Below are 24101 nucleotides of genomic sequence, written 5' to 3' on the forward strand. Positions count from 1 at the left end.
CTATTCTAACTACCCCAACCTAAAAACAACAATGGTGTTTTATCTGTTCATCCCTTCTGTCTTTATCTCCCCTGCTTTGATATCCTGGTGCCTGGTGCAGTAATGTACCTTTTTCCCCCCTTCATACATAGATCTTTATTTTATGTAACTTCTTGTCTCTATTTTCTTCTCTGACTATATAAACTGAGTAGAATCAGATTTCTGGGAAAGAAAAATATTGCGTGTAGAAATTAGACCAACTTGTTGAGGCACTGAACAAAGATCTATCCTCAAAAATAATAATAATAAGTTCTTCACTATTCTTTTGGATTAAAATATATATTTTATATATAACATATTATATATTATATATATTATATAATATATTTTATATATTATATATATTATATAATATATTTTATATATTATATATATTATATATTATATTTTATATATTATATATCTTATATATTATATTTTATATATTATACATAATATATTATATATATTATATATTATATATATTATATATTATATATATTATATATATTATATATTATATATATTATATATATTATGTATTATATATATTATATATATTATGTATTATATATATTATATATCATATATCATATGTTATATATTATATATCATATATCATATGTTATATATTATATATCATATATCATATGTTATATATTATATATCATATATCATATGTTATATATTATATATACATTATATATGTTATATATTATATATACATTATATATGTTATATATTATATATACATTATATATGTTATATATTATATATACATTATATATAATATGTTATATATTATATATACATTATATATAACATGTTATATATTATATATACATTATATATAACATGTTATATATTATATATACATTATATATAACATGTTATATATTATATATACATTATATATAACATGTTATATATTATATATACATTATATATAACATGTTATATATTATATATACATTATATATAACATGTTATATATTATATATACATTATATATAACATGTTATATATTATATATACATTATATATAACATGTTATATATTATATATACATTATATATAACATGTTATATATTATATATACATTATATATAACATGTTATATATTATATATACATTATATATAACATGTTATATATTATATATACATTATATATAACATGTTATATATTATATATATATATATAGTGCTAGAACAACATATAACAGAGTCATTTTTATCTAAGAATCCTAAGAGACAAAGTAGTTGAGTTCACAGAGAAAGACAACTTACTTGATATTCTTGAATAAATGAATTCAAGTGGTTTTGACAATAAAATGAAGATTAGAGTTGCTGCCAATGGGGTAATGAATAGTTATATCCTGCCAAACTCAGATTTCTGATATGCTGAAAAATACTTCTAGGAAATTTTGTATAACATTTAACAAAAATTATTTGACAATATTTTCAGGAAAAAGACATTATAATGAAAACCCATTTTAACTCTAGTGTGATTGCTTTAAAAAAGTAAGTTAGGTTAATATTCAAAGGATCTCGACATAATTTGCTAATCTGCTCTAGAAATGCAATAAGTATTTAAAGGAAGTAAAGGGAGAAAATACTTTCCCAGTCTATGTCATTTCTTATGTGATACAGGGACACTGTCATTGCTCTAACTGAGGGGCAAATGAACAATGGAAAACTAAAGACACATTTTTCCTTCTTGCTAGGACTGTCCTGCTAGAAGCATATCTCCAATAGCATTGTCATTTGCACTTTGCAAGAACTAATTAGTACTCAGTCACCATTCTCAAAGAAGACACAGCTGCTCATTGTATTCAAAAAAGTTATGTTTACCTAAGTGGAATCTATCTTTAAGGATGCCAGTGGCAAGAGGCTGTTCATCAAACTTCAGAATAGTTCAGAGCCTCTGAAGAGGCCTAGGAGGGCCTATGTTCACTGCTCCGTACTTAGAAATTGACACAATGTCAGTGTGGAGGGTGGGGGTGATGGGAGGAAGAGCATCAGGACAAATAGCTAATGCATGCTGGGCTTAAAACCTAGGTGACGGATTGATAGGTGCAGCAAACCACCACGGCACATGTATACCTATATAACAAACCTGCACGTTCTACACATGTATCCTGGAACTTAAAATAAGTAAATAAATAAATAAAAAGAAAAAAGAAAAAAAAGAAAAGAAATTGACACAATTTCAGTGCAACATCCTCAAAAGCAAGGAAAGTCTATGAGAGTAATTAATTATCTTTGTTTTCAAGCCATCAGCAGACTTCAGATTGTTTCTCTATTGTAATTGAATGTCTCTAAGGAGCAAAGTTATTACTTAATTAAAACTAATCCTTCTGGTCACTTACATATGACATAGTCAACAGCTTATACTTGATCTCTTTTTTTTTTTTTTTTTTTTTTTTGAGGCAGAGTCTCACCATGTTGCCCAGGCTGAACTTGAACTCCCGGGCTCAAGCTCAGCCTTCCAAGTAGTTAAAACCACAGGCCCATGCCAGCACACCCAAGTATACCTGTACTTTTATTGTTGATGAACCTAAAACACAGATATTACTGGGCACCAGTGATGAATCTACTGTTAACTTGTAAATGAACAGAAAGCAAAGTCCTACTGTATTTTTTTTAAAGAAATGGTTCAAGAATTCGTCACTAGTTTCTTCTTAATCATTCTTTTACTCTGTGATGTTCAGATGCATTTAATCACTTATCAATACAAGACAATTTTCATGAGTTTCCAAACCACGGAAAAGCCAAGAAACATCACTTTAAATGTTTGCTTAAAAATGCAGATTCCCCAATTCCACACTCAAAGATTTTTGTCTTGGTAGATCAGGGGGAAGTGAGGGGCCCAGATCACCTAGATGATTCTAATGCAGGTAGTAGAAATGCACATTTGGGGAAACATAGGTTTAAATAGACTACATTTGATATTATTGTAAAATATGAAGACCTGGGTCCTATTATTTTTTCCTGTAGAAAGTATCTTAAAATCATGTTGTATAAAAATATTTAATTTTACATATATAAGCAAATATATAATGGAAAGAGGTCACAATAGAATTAATAGTTTTGTGACTGAGTTTAATCTGATGCTGGAAGAGTTCTTACATTTAGTTATTTTGAACCATGTACCAAGACAGTGTGATAATATTTTGGCAAATATGTGTACATGTGAAAACTGCCTATGGAGATCAATATAGTGCATTTTACATGAAGGGACAGAAACAGAAGATTGAAGAAAGTAATTCCAATAAGTGGATGACTTGTTAGTATTGCCTAGTAAGAGGACACTGGATAATTTTGACAAAGTAATGAAAGGTACATTGCTTCTGTGATCTTTCAGGAACCTGTGCATCAGATCAGTCAGAAGAAAGATTCCAGCAGAGAAGGTTATGATCAGGAGGTGTAAGAGTTAGGATAGAGAAATGGGAATTGTTTTCCTAAAGGGGAAGGAACAGAGAGAGAGAGAGGTTAATTATACTTCAGGTTTAATTGAATGTGCTTCTAATGAAATAGCAAATAAATTACAAAAGAGATCTGAGGTTGAATTATATAGGTGGGATAGAGTACCCCATTAGGTGATTTTTTTAAATGTTAGCAAGAGAAGTAATTTTGAATGAAGAAATTTTACCTTGGGAAGCTTTAAACATTCGCCTTTGAGAAACTACAATTAGAGTGAGCCCTGTTTGGGGTTTTTTTGTCTAAATGTCCAAAATGAAAATAAATTTTTATTATTTTAAATATATAAACAATCCACGCACTTTGTAATGAAAATAATTAATATAGAAAACTACAAAGAAGAAAGCAAAAAGCAATTCTCTCCTCAGTCTCTCTACACGCTGGATTTAGTCAATCTTTAATGTTTGCAAATCTAATAGGTAAAATTTTTTATTTCATTCATTTTTTAATTCTTATTTGTATTTGTAAGAAAGAGTTAATATGGTCACTTATGTTTATTGTCCATTTGTATTCCCCTTTTGAGAATTGTTTCTTGTCAATCGTTTTCCATTGGAGTGTTTGTTTTTGACCAGTTATTATTTTTCCTCTTATTTCACACTCCATAAATGGAACAGCATGTTCCTTTGTTGTTATTTAACCTTTATGTATTTATATTCCCAGGAAGTTTTAATTATTACAAATTAAGTTTAAAAAGTTTTATTAATATCATAGAGGGGGAAGGCTGATACAACCTCTTTCAAAAGATACCAGGTTGTAGCACCTGGTACAGTGTTCCTGCAGTGAGCAACTTACTGAAATGTGTACTCTCAGAGCTCATTTCTCCCCTGCAAAGATGGCAATGAAATAAGAATGCAGCAAACCTATGAGTGTGAAAGCACTTTACAAATCATAAATCTTTATCTCTGGGTTTGTTTCTTTTCCTGGGATTAGACAATTAGATTTAATCATTGCTAAGGTCTCGACCAGTTCTAACTCTGTGAAATTCTTTAAAACATTACTAAGGAAAGCCCAGCACCAATTGACTTGAGCAGAGTAATTATATGGTGAAATAGGGTGAACAGAACACTGCTTCTGAGAATTAGGATTCCCATCCTTCCTCCACATGGTATGCTTTACATAACAGCCCCAGTGAATGCATGTGTGAGAAGGCTGGTTGGCCTCCCTGACTTCTGGTGAGGCAGAGAATTCCAAGACTCTCTGGTTTCCCTGAATAACATTATCCATCTGTTATATAACTTGTTTAAAATATTCTGTAGGTATTCATATGATTACTCCCTACAGTCTATTATTTTGATACAGTCCATAAGCTTACTTTTAATTTGAAACAAATTTCCCAGCCTGTGGTTCTTATCAAATCCGTCATCTATGTGTTCAACCCTCAATTCTGTAGACCTCAACCATTCTTTTTTTTTTTTTTGTACACTTTAAGTTCTAGGGTACATGTGCACAATGTGCAGGTTTGTTACATATGTATACATGTGCCATGATGCTGTGCTGCACCCATTAACTTGTCATTTACATTAGGTATATCTCCTAATGCTATCCCTCCCCACTCCCCCCACCTCATGACAGGCCCCAGTGTGTGATGTTCCCCTCCCTGTGTCCAAGTGTTCTCATTGTTCAATTCCCACCTATGACTGAGAACATAAGGTGTTTGGTTTTTTGTCCTTGCGATAGCTTGCTGAGAATGATGGTTTCCAGCTTCATCCATGTCCCTACAAAGGACATGAACTTGTTTTTTGTCCTTGCGATAGTTTGCTGAGAATGATGGTTTCCAGCTTCATCCATGTCCCTAGAAAGGACATGAACTTATCCTTTTTTATGGCTGCATAGTATTCCATGGTGTATATGTGCCACATTTTCTTAATCCAGTCTATCATTGATGGACATTTGGGTTGGTTCCAAGTCTTTCTATTGTGAATATTGCCACAATAAACATACGTGTGCATGTGTCTTTATAGCAGCATGATTTATAATCGTTGACCTCAACCATTCTTATCTTGACTTTCATATTTTCTTATAACTTTTATTTCAGCTTCAAGGGTACATGTGCAAGTTTGTTATATGGTATAGTGCATGTCACAGGGGTTTGGTGTACAGATTATTTCACCACTCAGGAAATAAGCATAATACCCAATAGTTAGTTTTTTGATCCTCACCCTCCTCCTACCCTCCACCCTCAAGTAGGTGCTGTTGTCTATTGCCTTCTTCTTTGCTTTCATATGTACTCATTGTTTAGCTCCCACTAATAAGTGAGAACATGCAGTATTTGGCTTTCTCTTCCTGCATTAGTTTGCCTAGGATAATGGCCTCCAGCTCCATCCATTGGGGTGTTCTACAAAGGACATGACCTAGTTCTTTTTCATGGCTGCATGATATTCCATGGCATATATTTACATTTTCTTCATCCAGTCTACTACTTATGGGAATCTAGGTTGATTCTATGTCTTTACTATTGTGAATAGTGCTGCCATGAACATGCACATGCATGTGTCTTTAAGGTAGAACAATTTATATTCCTTTGAGTATATATCCAATAATACGGTTGCAATGGTAGTTCTATTTTAAGTTATTTGAGAAATTGCCAAACTGCTTTCCACAGTGGCTGAACTAATTCACATTCCCACTAGCACTGTATGTCATCTTTTCAACCTCACCAGCATCTTTTATTTGTTGACTTTTTAAGAATAGCCATTCTGACTGGTGTAAGACGGTATCTCATTGTGGTTTTTATTTGCATTTCTCTAATGATTAGGGATGTTGAACATTTTTTATATGAAGATCAGATGGTTGTAAGTGTGAGGCTTTATTTCTGGGTGCTCTAACCTGTTCCATTGGTTTATATGTCTGTTTTAGTACCAATACCATGCTGTTTGGGTTGCTATAGCCTTTTAGTATTGTTTGAAGTCAGGTAATGTGATACCTCCAGCTTTGTTCTTTTTGCTTAGGATTGCTTTGGCTATTCAGGCACTTTTTTTTGTTTCATATGATTTTTAGAGTTTTTTTTCTAATTCTGTGAAGAATGTCATTGATAGTTTGATAGAAATAGCACTGAATCTGTAAATTGCTTTGGGCAATATGGCAATTTTAACAATATTGATTCTTCCTATTCATGAGCACGGAATGCTATTCCTTTCTTTGTGTTGTTTTTGGTTTCTTTCAACAGTGTTGTACAACTCTCCTTGTAGAAATCTTTGACCTCCCTAGTTAGCTGTACTCCTAGGTATTTTGGTTTGTGAATGGCTATTGTGAATGGGATTGTGTTCTTGATTTGGCACTCAGCTTTGATGTTGTTGGTGTACAGAAATGCTACTTATTTTTGTACATTGACTTTGTATCTTGAAACTTTGCTGAAGTTGTTCATTAGATCTAGGAGTTTTTAGGCAGATACTGGGTTTTTCTGTATATAAAATTATATCATCTGCAAACAGAAATAGTTTGACTTTCTCTCTTCGTATTTGGATGCCTTTTGTTTCTTTATCTTGCCTGATTTCTCTGGATAGGATTTCCAGAGAATATGTTGAATAGGAGTAGTGACAGTGGGCATCCTTGTTTTGTTCCAGTTGTCAAAGGGTACGCTTCCAGCTTTTGCCTGTTCAGTATGATATTGGCTGTGGGTTTGTCATAGATATCCCTTATTATTCTGAGGTATGTTCCTTCAATGCCTAGTCTGTTGACGGTTTTTAACATGAAGGAAGTTGAATTTTATCGAAAGCTTTTCTGCATTAATTGAGATAATCATGTGGTTTTTGTTTTTAATTCTGTTTATGTGATAAAACACATTTATTGATTTACATATATTGAACCAACCTTACATCCCAGGGATAAAACCCACTTGATTGTGATGGATTAGCTTTTTGATGTGCTGCTGTATTTGATTTGCTAATATTTTGTTGAGGATTTTTGCTTCTGTGTTCATCCTGGATATTGGCCTTAAGTTTTCTTTTTTACTGTATCTCTGCCAGGTTTTGGTATCAGAATGATGCTGATCTCATAAGATAAGTTAAGGAGGAGTCCCTCCTCAATTTTTTGGAATGGTTTCAGTAGGAATGGTACCAGTTCTTCTTTCTATGTCTGGTAGAATTCAGCTGTGAATCCATCTGGTCCTGGGCTTTTCCTGGTTGGTAGGCTTTTTATTACTGATTCAATTTCAGAACTCATTATTGGTCTGTTCGGGGTTTCAATTTCTTCCTGGTTGAATTTTGGGTAGTTGCATGTTTCCAGACATTTGTCCATTTCTTGTAGGTATTCTAGTTTTTGTGGATAGAGGTGTTCATAATAGCCTCTGAGGGTTTTTTGTATTTCTGTGGAGTCAGTAGTATTATCCACTTTGTGATTTCTGATTCTGCTTATTCGGATCTTCTCTCTTTTTCTCTTTATTTGTCTAGTTAGCTATTGATCTTATTTATTTTTTCAAAAAACTAACTTCTGGTTTTGTTGATCTCTTACATGCTTTTTTATGTCTCAATTTTATTCAGTTCATTTTTTCACATCTCAGTTTCATTAATTAAGTTCCAATATTGGTTATTTCTTGTCTTCTGCTACTTTTGCAGTTGGTTTGCTATTGTTTTTCCAGTTCATCTAGGTGTGATGTTACATTTAAGATATTTCTAACTTTTTATGTGATGTTACATTTAAGATATTTCTAACTTTTTATGTGAGCATTTAGTGCTAAAAACTTTCCTCTTAACATTGCTTTAGCTATATCCCAGAGATTCTGGTAGGTTGTATCTTTGTTCTCATTATTTTCAAATAGTTTCCTAATTTCTGACTTAATTTCATTGTTTACAAGAAGTCATTCAGGAGTAGGTTGCTTAATTTTCATGTAATTGTATGGTTTTGAATGATCTTCTTAGTATTGATTTCTATTTTTATTGCCCTGTGATCTGACAGTTTGGTTGGTATGATTTCAGTTTTTTTAAATCTGCTGAGAATTGTTTTATGGCCAATTGCATGGTTGATTTTAGACTATATGCCATGTGCAAATGTGAAACACGATGTTCTGTTGGTTTTGGGTGGAAAGTTCTGTAGATATCTATTAGGTCCATTTGGTCAAGTGTCAAGCTTAGGTACCGAATATCTTTGTTAGTTTTCTGCCTCAATGAAGTCTCCCATTATTACTATGTGGTTATCTAGATCCCTCCATAGATCTCTAAGAACTCATTTTGTGAATCTGGGTGCTCTACTGTTAGATGCAAATATATTTAGGATAGTTAACTCCTGTTGAATTGAACCTTTTATCATTATGTAATGCCCTTCTTTGTCATTTTTGATCATTGTTGGTTTAAAGGCTGTTTTGTCTGAAAGAAGGATAACAACTCCTGCTTTTCTTGTTTTCTGTTTGCTTCACAGATCTTTCTCCATCCCTTACTTTGAGGCTATGGGTGTCACTGCATGTGAGATGTGTCCTTGAAGACTGCATACAGTTGGGTCTTGCTTCTTTATCCAACTTGCCATTCTGTGCCTTTTAATTGGGGAATTTAGCCCATTTATATTCAAGGTTAATACTGATATGTACAAATTTGATCCTCTCATTGTGTTTTTGGTGGGATATTATGCATACATGATTGTGTAGTTGCTATATAGTATATTTACATCTGTTTTTGTGGTGGCCAGCAAAAGACTTTCATTTCCATATTTAGCACTCCTTTAAGGACTTCTTTTTTTATTATTATACTTTAAGTTCTAGGGTACATGTACACCACATGCAGGTTAGTTACATATCTATACCTGTGCCATGTTGGTTTGCTGCACCCATTAACTCATCATTTACATTAGGTATTTCTCTTAATGCTATCCCTTCCCCATCCCCCCACCCCATGACAGGCCCTGATGTGTGATGTTCCCCGCCCTGTGTCCAAGTGTTCTCATTGTTCAATTCCTACCTATGAGTGAGAACATGCGGTGTTTGGTTTTCTGTCCTTGCGATGGTTTGCTCAGAATGATGGTTTCCAGCTTCATCCACGTCACTACAAAGGACATGAACTCATTATTTTTTATGGCATAGTATTCCATGGTGTATATGTGCCACAATTTCTTAATCCAGTCTATCATTGTTGGACATTTGGGTTGGTTCCATGTCTTTGCTATTGTGAATAGTGCCACAGTAAACATACATGTGCAGTGTCTTTATAGTAGCATGATTTATAATCCTTTGGGTATATACCCAGTAATGGGATGGCTGGGTCAAATGATATTTCTAGTTCTAGATCCTTGAGGAATCACCACACTGTCTTCCACAATGGTTGAACTAGTTTACACTCCCACCAACAGTGTAAAAGTGTTCTTATTTCTCCACATCCTCTCCAGCACCTGTTGTTTCCTGACTTTTTAATGATTGCCCTTCTAAGTGGTGTGAGATGGTATCTCATTGTGGTTTTGATTTGCATTTCTCTGATGACTAGTGATGATGAGCATTTTTTCATGTGTCTGTTGGTTGCATAAACGTCTTCTTTTGAAAAGTGTCTGTTCATGTCCTTTGCCCACTTTTTGATGGGGCTGTTTGATTTTTTTCTTGTAAATTTGTTTAAGTTCTTTGTAGATTCTGGATATTAGCCCTTTGTCAGATGGGTAGATTGCAAAAATTTCCTCCCATTCTGTAGGTTGCCTGTTCACTCTGATGGTAGTTTCTTTTGCTGTGCAGAAGCTCTTTAGTTTAATTAGATCCCATTTGTCTATTTTGGCTTTTGTTGCCATTGCTTTTTGTGTTTTAGTCATGAAGTTAAGGACTTCTTTTAAGGCAGGTCTGGTGGTAACAAATTCCCTTAGTATTTGTTTGTTTGCAAGGGATCTTATTTCTCTTTTGCTTATGATGCTTAGTTTGGCTGGATATGAGTTATTGGTTGGATTTTCTTTTCTTTAAGAATACTGAAATGGGCCCCCAATCTTTTCTGGCTTGGAGGGTTTCTTCTGAAAGGTCTGCTGTTAGCCTGATAGGTTTCCCTTTGTGGGTGACCTGCTCCTTCTCTCTAGCTGCCTTTAATGTTTTTTCTTTCATGTCAACTTTGGAGAATATGATGACTATGTGTCTTGGGAAAGGTCATCTTGTATAGTATCTCACAGGGGTTCTCTGAATTCCCTGAATTTTAATGTTGGCCTTTCTCACAAGTTTGGGGAAACTTTTGTGGATGATATCCTCAAATATGATTTCTAAGTTGCTCATTTTCTCTCTGTTTCAGGAATGCCAGCGAGTCACAGATGTGGTCTCTTTACATAATCCCATATTCTCAGAGGTTTTGTTCATTATTTTTATTATTTTTCCTGTAATTTTATCTGACTGAGTTAATTAGGAAAACCAGTCTTTGAGCTTTGAGATTCTCTTCACAGATTGGTCTATTCTGCTGTTAATACTTTCAACTATATTATGAAATTCTTGCAGCGAGTTTTTCAGCTCTATCAGATCAGTTTGGTTCTTTCTTAAAACGGCTGTTTTATCTTTTGGATCCTGTATTGTTTTGTTGTATTCCTTAGAGTTTTTGGATTCAGTTTCTACTTTCTTTTGAATCTCAATGATCTTCATTCCTATCCATATTCTGAATTCTACGCCTGTTATTTCAGCTATTTCAGCCTGGTTAAGAACCATTTCCGGAAAACTACTTCAGTCGTTTTGAGGTAAGAGGGCACTGGTTTTTTGAGTTATCAGAGTTTGTGCACTCGTTCTTTCTCATCTGTGTGAGCTGATGATCATTTAGTCTTTGATGTTGCTGATGGGGTTTTTGCTTTTATCTTCTTTGATACTCTTTGAGGTTTGATTGTGGTATAAGGTTGGTTCAATTGACTGGCTTCAATTCTGAAAGATTTCAGGGGGCCAAGGCTCAGTTCAGCAATCTTGGGCTACATGCTCTAACTCTGAGGAACTGGTACAGGGCCCTTGGCTTTGTTATCTGGCCTCTTGAGGTAAGGAACCTGCTGCGCAGGAAGGGCCAATGTGTTCTTAGTCCACTGGCCACACTCTGATGGGGGGGTGCCAGCCAAAGTGCTTCACTGGGGCAATGGCAACAGGATCCATACTCATTCACATGTGCCAACAGCTGCATTGGTGCATTGGGGTGCACATGCGTCAGTTGGGGTGGGGTGCCAGCAAAAACCTCTGCCTTCGTTTTCACAGATAGAACATACTGGCAAAATATTTTGGTGTTGTATTTTGGGCTGTGGTCCAGTAGATGGCGCTTAAGAGTGTTAGCAGATAGACTCTTGGCGGCATGGCTCTTTGTGCTCTGTGGTAGCAGGGGAGAGAGATGACACCCTCACCTAATCTGCTCCTGGGTCTTGGAAGAGCCCCCTCCAATCACTGGCTTTATGCCTGCATTTCTTTTCTTGGGTGTTCTGGTCCAGAGAGGTCCCTCAGGCAGGGACCACGTTTGGCAGACAGGTAATATACTTGCCCAGCTGGCCCTTCGGAGGGAGGTACACCCCATGCCTCCACTGGCCTGTGGCATCTCATCTCTCTCAGTGATCCAAGAGTGAGGGCTCCTTCCTGCTTGGGCACCACCCAAGCCAGCAAGTCTCACTTGGCGATGAGCAGCAGGAGTGGGTGGAGCCCACCTAATCTGCTATCCAAGTACTTCCTGGGGAACATGGGATTGTGCTTGCCTGCCGAGTTCAGGTAGAAGCAGTCTGCTGGGCTGTAAGCTCTAGCAGGCATGGCCCACCTGGCTACCAGTGGCAGGAGTGAGTGGGGTTGCCCGCCCTTCTGTCCAGGTGATTTTCAGGACAACAGAAGATCACTCCCCTTGGACTCAAGAGTTGCCCCTGTAAAACTTCTGGGTGGCTCTGTGCCTCAGTTTAGAAGTGTGGGGGATGGAGCGGGCATGGAGGAGAGCCAGGGGATTTTTTCATTCCCAGTCTTGCACAGGACCCCACGGGGCTCTCACTCACTTGCCTTTTCCCATTTTGGAGAGGTTCTTCTGGCCTCTGCACTCAGCCCAGACAGGCTGGTGCCCAGCTTCACTCCTCTCTGCTCTCTATGTCTCCCTGCTGCCTTGATGGATCCCAATGTGGTTTTTTAGGTGATCAGCTTGTAGGGTCAGTGTTCACTAGTCAGTGAAAATGACACACGTGAACTGCTTCTAGTCTGCCATGCTGACCCAAACTCCCCAACTTCCACATTTTTATAGACTGAAAGGCTTCTCATCATTTCATCTTTCTGATTATTTACATTTTCTAGCCAGTTGCATAGGTGAATATAATATTCCTGCTGAAAATAGCTTGAGAGTTAAGATCAGTGGCCGGGCACGGTGGCTCACACCTGTAATCTCAGCACTTTGGAAGGCCGAGGTGGGTGGATCACGAGGGTCAGGAGCTCGAGACCAGCCTGGCCAACATGGTGAAACCCTGTCTCTACTAAATACAAAAATTAGTTGGGCGTGGTGGCGGATGCCTGTAATCCCAGCTACTCAGGAAGCTGAAGCAGGAGAATCGTTTGAACCTGAGAGGCAGGGGTTGCAGTGAGCCAAGACTGCACCATTGCACTCCAGCCTGGCCAACAGAGCCAGACTCTGAAAAAAAAAAAAAAATCAGTGTGGGTCCAAATCTCAAGTCTGCCCCTTTCCATTTAAGTAACCCTAGGCAAGTGTTTAACCCACTTCACCATCAGTTTCCATATCTTTAAAATAAGAATCACACTTACTTCATAGCATGAAAGTGAGAATGACACTCTATGTCAAATGCCTAATACAAGTTGGCCCTCAATATTTACACTATTTTTTTTACTGTGAACATAACATGTACTGGGAGAATATATTTGAGCAGCATTTTGGAAGGAATACTAAAATGAGTAAAATTAATTCTTATAAATGCTTCAGAAGTATAAAGTCAGCTACAAGAAAACTAGACCATTTTTGGCCATTCACTCAAAAAATATTAATTGGTGTCTACTATGTGCCAGGCATTGTTCTAGGAGCTGGTGGTGTAGTGGTAGCCAAAATGAACAAGTCTGCTGGTTACATATATCTTACCTCTAATGAGAGGAAAAAGACAAGAAACACATAAGAACCTGAGCAAATAAAATAATCTTATAGGAATAAGAGAGCTACGAAGAAAATGAAACAGGGTCAGTGGGATGCAGAGTGGTGGAATATGCCAGGGAGGTTGAGCACAAGGGGAATGCTGATTTAGAGAAGCTGAAAGGGAAATCTTCTCTGGTATAACATGTGAGCTGAGACATGAAAGAGGAGAATAGCCTACAATAAACACAAATACATAAGGTAAGAGAGTTCTATGCAAAAGAAACAGGCCCTATTATGAAACAAGCCTGGTGTAATCGAGAGAGAGAAGAAAGGTCAGTGTGCGTGGAGCACAGTGAATGTGAGGGAGCCCAGGATGAGAGGAATTCAGAAAAACAGACAGGAACCAGATTATGTGGGGTCTGGTGGGCCATGGAGAGGAATTTGGATTCTATTCTGATTTCAGGGAGCAGCCATTGGATATCTTTGGCAAGGGAATAATAAGGTCTGATTTAGGTTTTCTTAAAATTATACTGGCTGTCGTATGGAGAATGGACTGTAGAAAAATAATGGAAGGTGAGAGTCCAGGCAGGTGGCTACTGAATTAGACCCAACAAGTGATAGCGGTGGTAATAAAGATGGTGAGAAGTTAACGGGCTTGAGACATATTGAAAATGTAGCTAAAGGAACTTGCTCATAGATGGTATGTGGGAAGCACTAGGAAAGAATAGAATCAAGGATACCTCCTAGGATTTTGGCCTGACAGCAGTGTGTTCCTCCAGTTGGGGAGCCCTAGAGAAGAGACTGTACTGCAGTAGTTGTGAGACATGCACTGTGGACAAACACTAAGTTTGCATCCCCTCTTCATCACCTGATCCTCTGTATCAATTTTCTTTTTGGTAAAATTAGAATCATATAGCAGCACTTATTACTCAGATGTGCCTTACGGATTAAATTAATAAACACGTGTAAAGTACTTAAAACAGTACCTGGTGTTAGTTATTATTAACGGGATGGGGAGGGTGGGAGCAAGAATTCTCTTCTACAGTTGCTACATCTATGGTGCCTTTTAGATGTCCAAGTAGAGATGTGCAGGCAATAGGGTATTCGAGTCTAGAGTTCAGAGAGATGTTGGGAGGAAAGATATAAATCAGGAACTCAATAGCATACTGATAGTATTTAAATTCCTGCCACTGGATAAAATCATCTGGGAAAAGACAGTAGAGAAGAGAGTAAAAGAGGATCATCCCTGGGGTATGTCACCATGAAGGTCATGGCCACATATACTTAGATTTCACAGAAATGATTTGAGAGTCTAAATGAATTCTTTATTTCACTCTTTATTTTTAGGGAACATCCTATTCCTAAATTAATTCACGAAAGTCTCATTTGAAGTTCTGGATCACAAACTGCCCTCCATTTTACATTTCACCCATATGTTCTCCCATCAGATTATAGGTCCCTCATGGTGATGTTATGTGCCATATTTTTTTAATGTCCTTCACTCTTCCTAGCACAGAGTAATACACATAGGCTCCCTCAATAAATGTCTGCTGGAATAATTATTTAAAGAAATTATGATGAATAATCTGTGTTTTCCATGGCACCATATGAAGGACTAGCTACTGAGGACATGAATTATTTTGCTCTAAGGAAGAAGATAAACTGAACTCATTTTATTAGGGAGAAAATGTGAACCCTGTGGAAAACCAAAGATGAATCTAGGCTTATAAATAAACTTATCTTCCTAAAACCTGTCTTTTTCTACTGCACAAGGAAGGGGTGTAAAGTGAAAAGATAATGAGGCTTTAGACTTAGGCAAACTTGCGCTCAAATCTCCCATCTATATAAGTTGTGAAGCCAGAACAATTTACTTACGCATGTGAACCCATCTCATCTTTAAAATAGGAATGATAATAATACCTACCTCATGGAGTTTGAAAAGGTCTAAATGAGTTTTGTGATGTGAACAGGGTCAGGTGATGCATGCACATGCAATGTGTGGCATTATAGAAGAAGAACCCTAAAGTTCGAGAACCCATATCTTTTATGGCATAAATTGGATACTCATATATTAGTTTCCTTATCTCTCCTAAAAAATACACTATATTTTTATGCAAGGTTTTTGCACTTATGAATTCATTATGCTCAGGACATAGCTCACAATTATGTGCATATAAAACTCAGTTTATTTTTTAAATGATGCATACAATGCAAGTGATTGTGTGTGTGTGTGCGAGAGAGAGATCTGTTGATACAAAAGTACATTGCAGTATAAAAAATGTACTTAGTTTTACATACATAAATTTACTTCTTTCTTAATGAAAATATGTGTGACAAGATCCTTCATATGTAACAGGAGGGATTTCTTACACTGTAGTAATTTGCTGCTTTTAAACAGACTTAGCAGCATCCAGAGGCAAAGGCTGTTATGGGCTCATTATTTCCTGCCCCCCAGAGGATGAACTGTGCTAATTAAGTACATTTAAAGGGAAAAAATGCCTCTTTGCTGTGTCCCCATTATGCTACTGTCTCTTTACTTCCTGATGCTTGTTACAATTTATTAGCTGTGAATTATACCTGCCAGTAAATTAACCCTTCTTTCTCCACTCAATTTGTCAGATAAAAAAGTTGCATAAAGTTAAAAGCCAGCCAGTTGGCTTCCTGAGAATATAGATATGGAACAATTTCCTGCAGCATTGAGCCTCAGAAGAATTTAACAGCTTTGGTGAATCTAGTACCAATGCTCATTTTCAAGCCAGGAGCAAACACATAAATCATGTTCAGCACAATGTACCTGCCTTTAGAAAGCTGTTTACAGCCATGTATATTTATTAGTTTTCCATGATTTCAAGCAGTATGTTTTCTTTACCCTCTCCTTTTCCTTGCAAGCACACACACAAATTCCTATCACAAAGTCTCTCTGGTACGTCACAAAACACAGCCTTTGGGGGTGATTATTTTTCCCGAGTATTTTTACATCCTCGTGCCAATGCTTCAGATAGTACCCTAAATTAACTGTATCTTTTGCTGTCCATGGATACTTACAAGTTTCCTTTTGCCACTTGTCAAGAGCAGTGAAGAGTCTTGAGATTTCACTTGCAAACTAACAAGTCACCCTGACATAGTTTCATGGTTGCTGGCAGAAGGTGCAACACTCTTAGATCAAAGAGAAAAGGACTTTATTACTCACAGCATTAGCGTTAGCCAGAGTAGCAGCATGTACTCCAAGTTCTAATTCCTACAGGGTGATGTGAAGAGTGCCAGATGATACCTGCACATACAGTGGGTTGCATTATAGGAGATGAACTCTAAGCTTAGGGAAACCAAATATTTTATAATGGACAGTAAGCCTGAGTGACCTTTGCCACAGAAGTAAATATTGTCTTTTTATGCTGCAAAATAAACAAAATTGTTCTTTACTACAAAGAAAGACACTATCTCTATCTTCCAAGGTTGTTTTTACAGATGTCCTCAAAACAACAGTACAGAGCAAAGGCACTAAGTGTCTCTGCCCACAAGATATGCATAAATGTAAGAGTACTGTATTAGTCTGTTCTCGCATTGCTATGAAGAACTACCTCAGACTGGGTAGTTTATAAAGAAAAGAGGCTTAATTGACTCACCGTTCCATGGGCTGTACAGGAAGCATGGCTGGGGAGGCCTCAGGGAGCTTCTAATTATGGCAGAAGGCAAAGGGGAAGTAGGCACATCTTACATGGCCAGAGAAGGAGTAAGAGAGAGGTAAGGGAGAGGTGCTACAGTTTTAAACAACTAGATCTCATGAGAACTCACCCACAATCACCAGAACAGCAAGCAGGAAATCAACCCCACATGATTCAGTCACCTCCCACCAGGACCTTCCTCCAACACTGGGAATTATAATTTGACATGAGATTTGGGCGGGGACACAAATCCAAACCATATCAAGTACCATGAATTATTTTAAAACACCACTGATGCTTTTTCTTCATGAATGTGTATTACAATTTAATAGTGTTTTCAATACATGAGTTTTTACAGTTAATATGGACTTAGTAACTTGAATACATAATCCCAAAATCAAGTCTTCTTGCAAAGAATACCATAAAATCCTTTCTTAAACTAAATGGAAATTCAATTTTTAGTAAATGTACTTAATCGATGTGTAACTCAATTTCCTCACCAGTATAATGAAATAAATATAATACTTAATTCGATTTATTATTGAGTAGATTAAATGAGATAGTCCATGTAGAATGCTTAACACAGAGCCTGGTATTCATTAAGTGTTCATTTCTCCATAAATGTTAATTTTAATTAGAATTAATTGTCAGTACCCTTTGATGAGAGGTACTTAAAATACCCCCTTCACTAAACCACCACCATTGAGCCCACTTCCAAATGTACCTTGGGAGTGCTGGTTTGCCTTTTGTTGGTATAGAGGCATTCATCAGGAAAGGGTAGAGATACAAGAAAGTAATATTCTTGAAGACTTATTATGTGTTTTTAGTTGACTATGTGACCTAGTGCTTTCATGTATTATTTCATTCCTTCTTAACAGCATTCTCATAAAGAATGCATTATTTTTTAGATGAGTGGACCGAGATTCAGACATTACTGAAGGTCACACCATTTGTAATGGAAAAGCAGGAGTCAAACCCTGTCTCACTCTAGTCTGACTCTGTGCCTTTACAATTTTTAACCATTCAGTCTTATTTTCCTCAACAATCTTTCTATCTTTTGGGACTAACTATGCCTTTGTGACAGAAAATCCTCTCTACTCTGTAGACTCCATTGCCAATGAGAACAATAGGTTCACAGTGGAAAGAGAGATTATGCCTCCACCTGTATTCTTCTAAAAATGATATCCATCTCTTCATTTTTGACCTTTTTTGAGGAAATGACAAGATGTAATTCAGAGGATACAAAGTAGTAGATATGTAGCATGAACAAGTCTAAAGATCTGATGTACCACATGAGAACTACAGCTAATAAAATTGTACTGTATTTCGGATTCCTGCTAAATGAGTAGGTTTTAGCTACTCTTGCTATAAAAACAAAAAAAAAATAGGTAACTATGTGAGATGATGGATATGTTATTTGCTTCACTATAGTAATCATTTTACTATCTATATGTATCCCATAACATCATTTTGTTTATCTTAATTATACATGATAAAATTGATTTTTAAAAAAATAGTATCCACGATGTGTTAGGCCCAAGCAACTTATGGCCCAAATGCCCCTTTTTGTACCAAAGCCTATTTCTGGATCCATAGGCTCAGTCAACATGTTTTTCTCACTCTTTTTGAAAGTACCTGATTCCTAGTTTAGTGTTTCTGAAATCTCTCTCAGGAACTTTAATGACAGTGTGACATCTTTGAGAAATGCAAGCATGACCTCTGTTCTGTCATATGTTGGTTTTACAAGGGACATTACATTAAACAGAAAATATGAAGTGATAATAAGCCTGCAATAATAACAAAATCCTCATTCAGGAAAGTGAAAGAACTTGTGTTTTACTTTTAGAGATAGACTCTTACTATTACACTAACACAAACAAATAAAGGTTAAAAACATGCCTTTTTAACTTAGTTCCATAGGAATTTTGTTTCTTACCAACTCTGCACGAAAGCCAATTAAACATTATTTAAAAACAACTGGAATGGGCCAAGCGCGGTGGCTCACGCCTGTAATCCCAGCACTTTGGGAGGCCGAGGTGGGTGGATCATGAGGTCACGAGATCGAGACCATCCTGGCTAACATGGTGAAACCCCGTCTCTACTAAAAATACAAAAACAAAATTAGCCGGGCATGGTGGCAGGCACCTGTAGTCCCAGGTACTCCGGAGGCTGAGGCAGGGAATTGCTTGAACCCAGGAGGCAGAGGTTGCAGTGAGCTGAGATCACGCTATTGCACTCCAGCCTGGGCGACAGAGCGAGACTCCGTAAAAACAACAACAACAACAACAACTGGAATGAAAACCAATATAGGGAAATAATCTTAACATTAGAATCAAGTATGCGGAATTAAGTTTTGTATCTCCTAAAATCTTTATTGACAGTAGCAGACCATATCAAAAGTCTTCTGAAATGCTTCTAGCGCTCTCAAAAATGCTCCACATCAAGAAACTTTTAAAATAAAATAAAATAAATGCCTAGTGGAAGAGTTCAGACAACAGTCCCAAAACTGCCTGAAGACATTCAGAATTCCTCTATAATCTTTATACAGATATTAAGAGAAAAAAAGTACTAATAGAAATTGTTCTGGTTTGTAATTGCAAGTATAATCACACAGTTCCTGAAAATAATAGATTGATGTTATAATATTGGGCAAGCCAATCAATGAACACAATATGCAGAATGATAAGTGGTGAAAAAAATGCTGCAACCTTTTGTTGATAACACTGCTGAATCCAAACTCCAACCCTTGTTCAAGTTGAACACTCTCGTTTCATTGTTGGGTAACAACAATGAATATTGTTGGGTAACAATTTTATATATGCTTCTCTTTGGGTTAGGTAGTGGCTTGTTGTTGTTATTTGTTTTTTGCTTGCTTTGCCCTCTTTAAAATTTTTAGAGGAAAAAAACATAACAGATACATAACATGGTCTCATGAGAAAACCAGAACACAAAGCCATGAAATGAAGAATTTCATTCTGTCAACCTGTTTAGCTTTCCCTGGGAGTTCAATCATCGTATGGGCTTTTATGTGTTCCGCTGAGCATTTACTGAGAACATCAGCCATTATGGGCTGCTGCCTAGCTACATGGTCATGTCGTTACTTCGCATTTATCTGGAATCCTCTATTCTCTCAACAGACATTTTTATTCTGTTCCATATGACTACCATTGTGAGAAAGCTTTGTTATTTTACTTGAATGAGGCAGTGAGTAGGTCTTTATTTTTTCAGGAACATACTCCTCCCCTGTAGCTGTACCTGAAAATTAGGTGACTTTCTCATAGCTTTTTCAAACCCATAAATCTTCTGTCCCTTTCACGCAATGTACTTACTTATATTTCAATTTTAGCATCTTGCAATCAAGTCTGATTCCTAGACCTTGTTTAAACTTTGGGCTGTTTTTAATTTATGAATCGTTTTGGAAATTTTTCTTTGCATTGAGTTATAAAATGTAGACTAAAACTCTAGCAATGTAGTAAAATCTTTTCAAAGTTTGTCTTTCATTTATTGATCTGATCCAGATCCTCTTGTGTGCATCACCCTAGAAACCTTCAATTTAATCCATTTTTTTTCAGTACCCCTAACATCTTAAAACTTAGTCATTCAGACACCACCCACCCGCCCTCTGACACCTTCTTCCTGATTGAAAGAGGCATTTATGTATATGAGTCACCTCCTGCCAGCTTCACAGGAATTACATAAAAGCAATCTGCCAACCATCTTGGCCTAAGGACAAAAAATCACATTTAGTGTCAAAGTAAAAGTCATTCTTGCTTGTTGGAAAATCACAATAGAGCACTTTAGGACCTTAACTCGCAGGACATCAGGCCTTAATCTACAGTCTATACTACAAATGAGGGAACTCATAAATGCTATGCTTTCATCGGTTTGGGTAAGCTTCTTGGCCTAATAATCCTAAAACCATTTTAAATGCTTTTTGTAGTTGAAAATGAAAGGCTAATTCATATTCAGGAAAGATTATACATATATTAAGGGGAGAATGTGGACTAAGAAATAAACATAATATTAGCAAAACACATTATCTTTCCATGCTAATACAAAAATATTCATGCAGAAAGTTATTTAAAAAGCACCGCTTATGGCAGGAAAGGTGGTTTTATGGTCTAAGAAAAATGAATTGAAAGATTTGCCTAGATAAATTGTTATAACTAGAAATATTGGTCAGGATATTTTTAGTTTTTTTTTGTTTCTAGACAAGACAGCTTAGACCATATGGAAATATGGGTTTAAATCTTCCATTTAACCTCTTATTTACTGTGTGGGTTTAAGGAAATCTCTTAACATGTCTGAGCTTTGGTTTCCTTAAATGTAAAGTGGTGAAATCGTGCATGCCTTCTCTCTCTTGAGTTGTTTTAAAGATCACATAGATGATATGTAAAAGGACAATGTAACTTTTATGTTTGTGTAATTGCTTATAATTCTCAAAAAGCTTTTACATATCATCTCATTTGAGTTGGCTACTGTTTTTGCAAGATCACTACGAAGGCAGGGAAAGTCTTAACTCTTTCTAGCTGATAAAAAGAATCCTGGAAGATCCCCTGTATTCCATATCCTTTCCCTTCCCATCAGCACTTCCACCTATACATTCACAGATTCAGGGAACCTGAAAGGAAGTCCCATTGTGTTTCTCAGACACACATTTCTCTCAGCTGTGAATATCTCTAATCAGTTCCAGATTATCCTAGGAATTTGAGCCTGGCACAAATCATCACTGTCTACTAGAATTGAAATTTTGGCTGCCAACCTAGAGCTTCTCCCATGTCCATACTTGACATGTATGATTGGGCAGGGGGAGAGAGGATGAGAATGTGTGTCTCTAAAATGCATCATAAGTCAAACCTTGCATACAAGGTTTTCTCTCTCTGTTACAAAGGACAGCACACAGAAAATTAAAGTACACACTTAAGGCCAGTACAGACTTATGACACTTCTCCCAAGGAGAGACAGTTCCAAGCTCAGAAGTCTAGATTTTAGTGCATGGGAGGTTGACCTTACCAGTTCTTGAATGGGATAGGTTTCTCCATGTAGAAGCTGTGGAATGTAGTTAGATTCAATTGGAGACTATCTCTCATAACAAGGAAACTCACCATATGAGGGATGTTAGAGGAGAGTTATAACGTTGTATCATTTTTTTCTTTCTTTGGTTTCAATTTCCACCTTTATTCAGATGAAGCTGAAAATAAGTGGAACAGCTGGCAATAAAACCTTAGCCACTAACTTGAATTTTTTGTGAAATGCCAGTCAAGTAACAGGAATGACAGACATGTAAGTAAGCCCCAGTAGTATCCATTTTTAAAAATATGTACTGTGAATAAAAATAATAGCAATTAGAGAACTTTAAATCATATTTTAAAGGATACCGTCTTAAAATAATCACTATTCAGAATTTGATGAAAGTAAAATTTTAGGGTTATCTTCAGTTACTCATGTTCAAATAATTTTCTGTGACTAAAACTTTGGTCAAAATAGAAAATGTGTTTTTTCCTAGGATGATCTAAAGGTATTTATTGTGGATGGAAAGAATTACAGAATACAAATAATATGAAACTCAAAATTACATCAACCAAATGCACTTTGTTTTCTCAGCTGACTCAAAATAATGAGTAGCCAAGGTAATATCGGCTGCACATTATACCTTCTCACAGTACCAGGATACCTGAAGAAACAACACTTCACTCCTAGTCTAGTCAGCACCTTTGCAATTTTTCTTGGAATGACGTTAGCTTTTACATAACCCATAGTAGCAAGCTTGTGAAACAAAGAAACCGCAATTTAGTTCGGGGTAACTCTAAAATGTTTGTGTTCAAATTACCAATAAGACTCGTTTTCATGAAGGGTCTTTCTAAAATACACTTTCTAAGCCAGTGTGCGTATTTTCATCCATATTTTCAAACAGAAAAATTAAGAACAAGACGGATAGTAACTTTCTTGACAGTTATGCCTTGGTTGAGAAGTTTAGGTATTAACTCACAGCTTCCATGTCTAGACCGTTGCTGGCTCTCTGATAGTTAATTGCCTCTATTATGATATTATCATTAGAGTCCCCTTAAGATAGACAAAAGAAAATTGTAGGTTTCTAGGTCTACTCAATTAAAGCAATTGAGTTTCATAGTTTCAGGAAATGACCAATTTAACTCCTATCTGGAATTTGTGATATTGGAAACATTTGTGGAAAAGGAACACATTCTAAAGTATTTTGAAAGTTTCTTAACCAGTTTTTCTCTAAATCATTGTTCTATAGTAAACACAGACATGGATAAAATGAATTCCTAAAGATATAAATTTGGAATTTTAAATTAAGATATAATTTATTTGGTAACAAAATAAGTGGATTTTTAAATCCTCTCTTCCTTAGTAATAGAACATCTATTATGTTCTCCATGGTATGCAGACAGTAATGTAGAACTTAAGGGGTTTATATAGTTACCTAGACAATTTTATCATTTACTACATTTTTTTGAAGTTATCTTTGTAAAGAAAAAAAACTTTTTCCATTAAGGAATACATGTTATCCTGGACTTCTGGTGTCACTAAAAGGTCATTGATTTACATCTGAACTGGGTCACTGAAAGCAAACGACTATGTGGTGGCCTAAATAGGTAAAATCGTGGCATCTTTCCCAGTTTAAGAGTCATCTGACCAATTATAACTCAAAATTTAAATCAAACCTACAAGTTATTATTAGAAGAAATACTGAGATTGGTCTGAGGCTACAACATAAACAAATGTGATCTCAGATATTGGTTAATTATTTCAAAGACTAAAACATTGAAGTTTATGTTTTATGCTTCACCTGTGTATATTTGAATGCCCCACACCAATTATACATAAGATCTGGAGTGTATTCCCAACATCTTCCCAAATGAAAGACCTATGAAAAAGTATTTTATAAAAGGTGACATATTTAGAGTGAGAAGGGCTTTATGTAAGGAGGAACACATTATTCATCCTGAGCAGATGAAAAGTAAGACATAA

The 24101-nt window shown here is 36.1% G+C and overlaps 1 protein-coding gene and 1 long non-coding RNA gene across 14 annotated transcripts in view; one reads left to right on the forward strand and one right to left on the reverse strand.

The window, feature by feature from the left end:
• The window catches only part of NDST3 (N-deacetylase and N-sulfotransferase 3), a 225313-nt gene that overhangs the window by 32424 nt on the left and 168788 nt on the right, over positions 1-24101 (forward strand). For 2 of the 12 annotated variants that reach the window (XM_047416414.1, XM_017008841.2), the window contains exon 1: positions 1229-22391. The exons of the other annotated variants lie outside the window; for them this stretch is intronic. The gene's annotated coding sequence lies outside the window, so the exon portion shown is untranslated. Of the gene's footprint in view, positions 1-1228; positions 22392-24101 lie in introns of those variants that run through there. 12 annotated transcript variants of the gene reach the window in all.
• LOC107986307 (uncharacterized) overlaps positions 1-24101 on the reverse strand; it is a 149690-nt gene that overhangs the window by 11009 nt on the left and 114580 nt on the right. The window lies entirely within an intron of this gene.

This window comes from Homo sapiens, chromosome 4, assembly GCF_000001405.40.
Source record: "Homo sapiens chromosome 4, GRCh38.p14 Primary Assembly".
NCBI classification, from domain to species: Eukaryota; Metazoa; Chordata; class Mammalia; order Primates; family Hominidae; genus Homo; species Homo sapiens.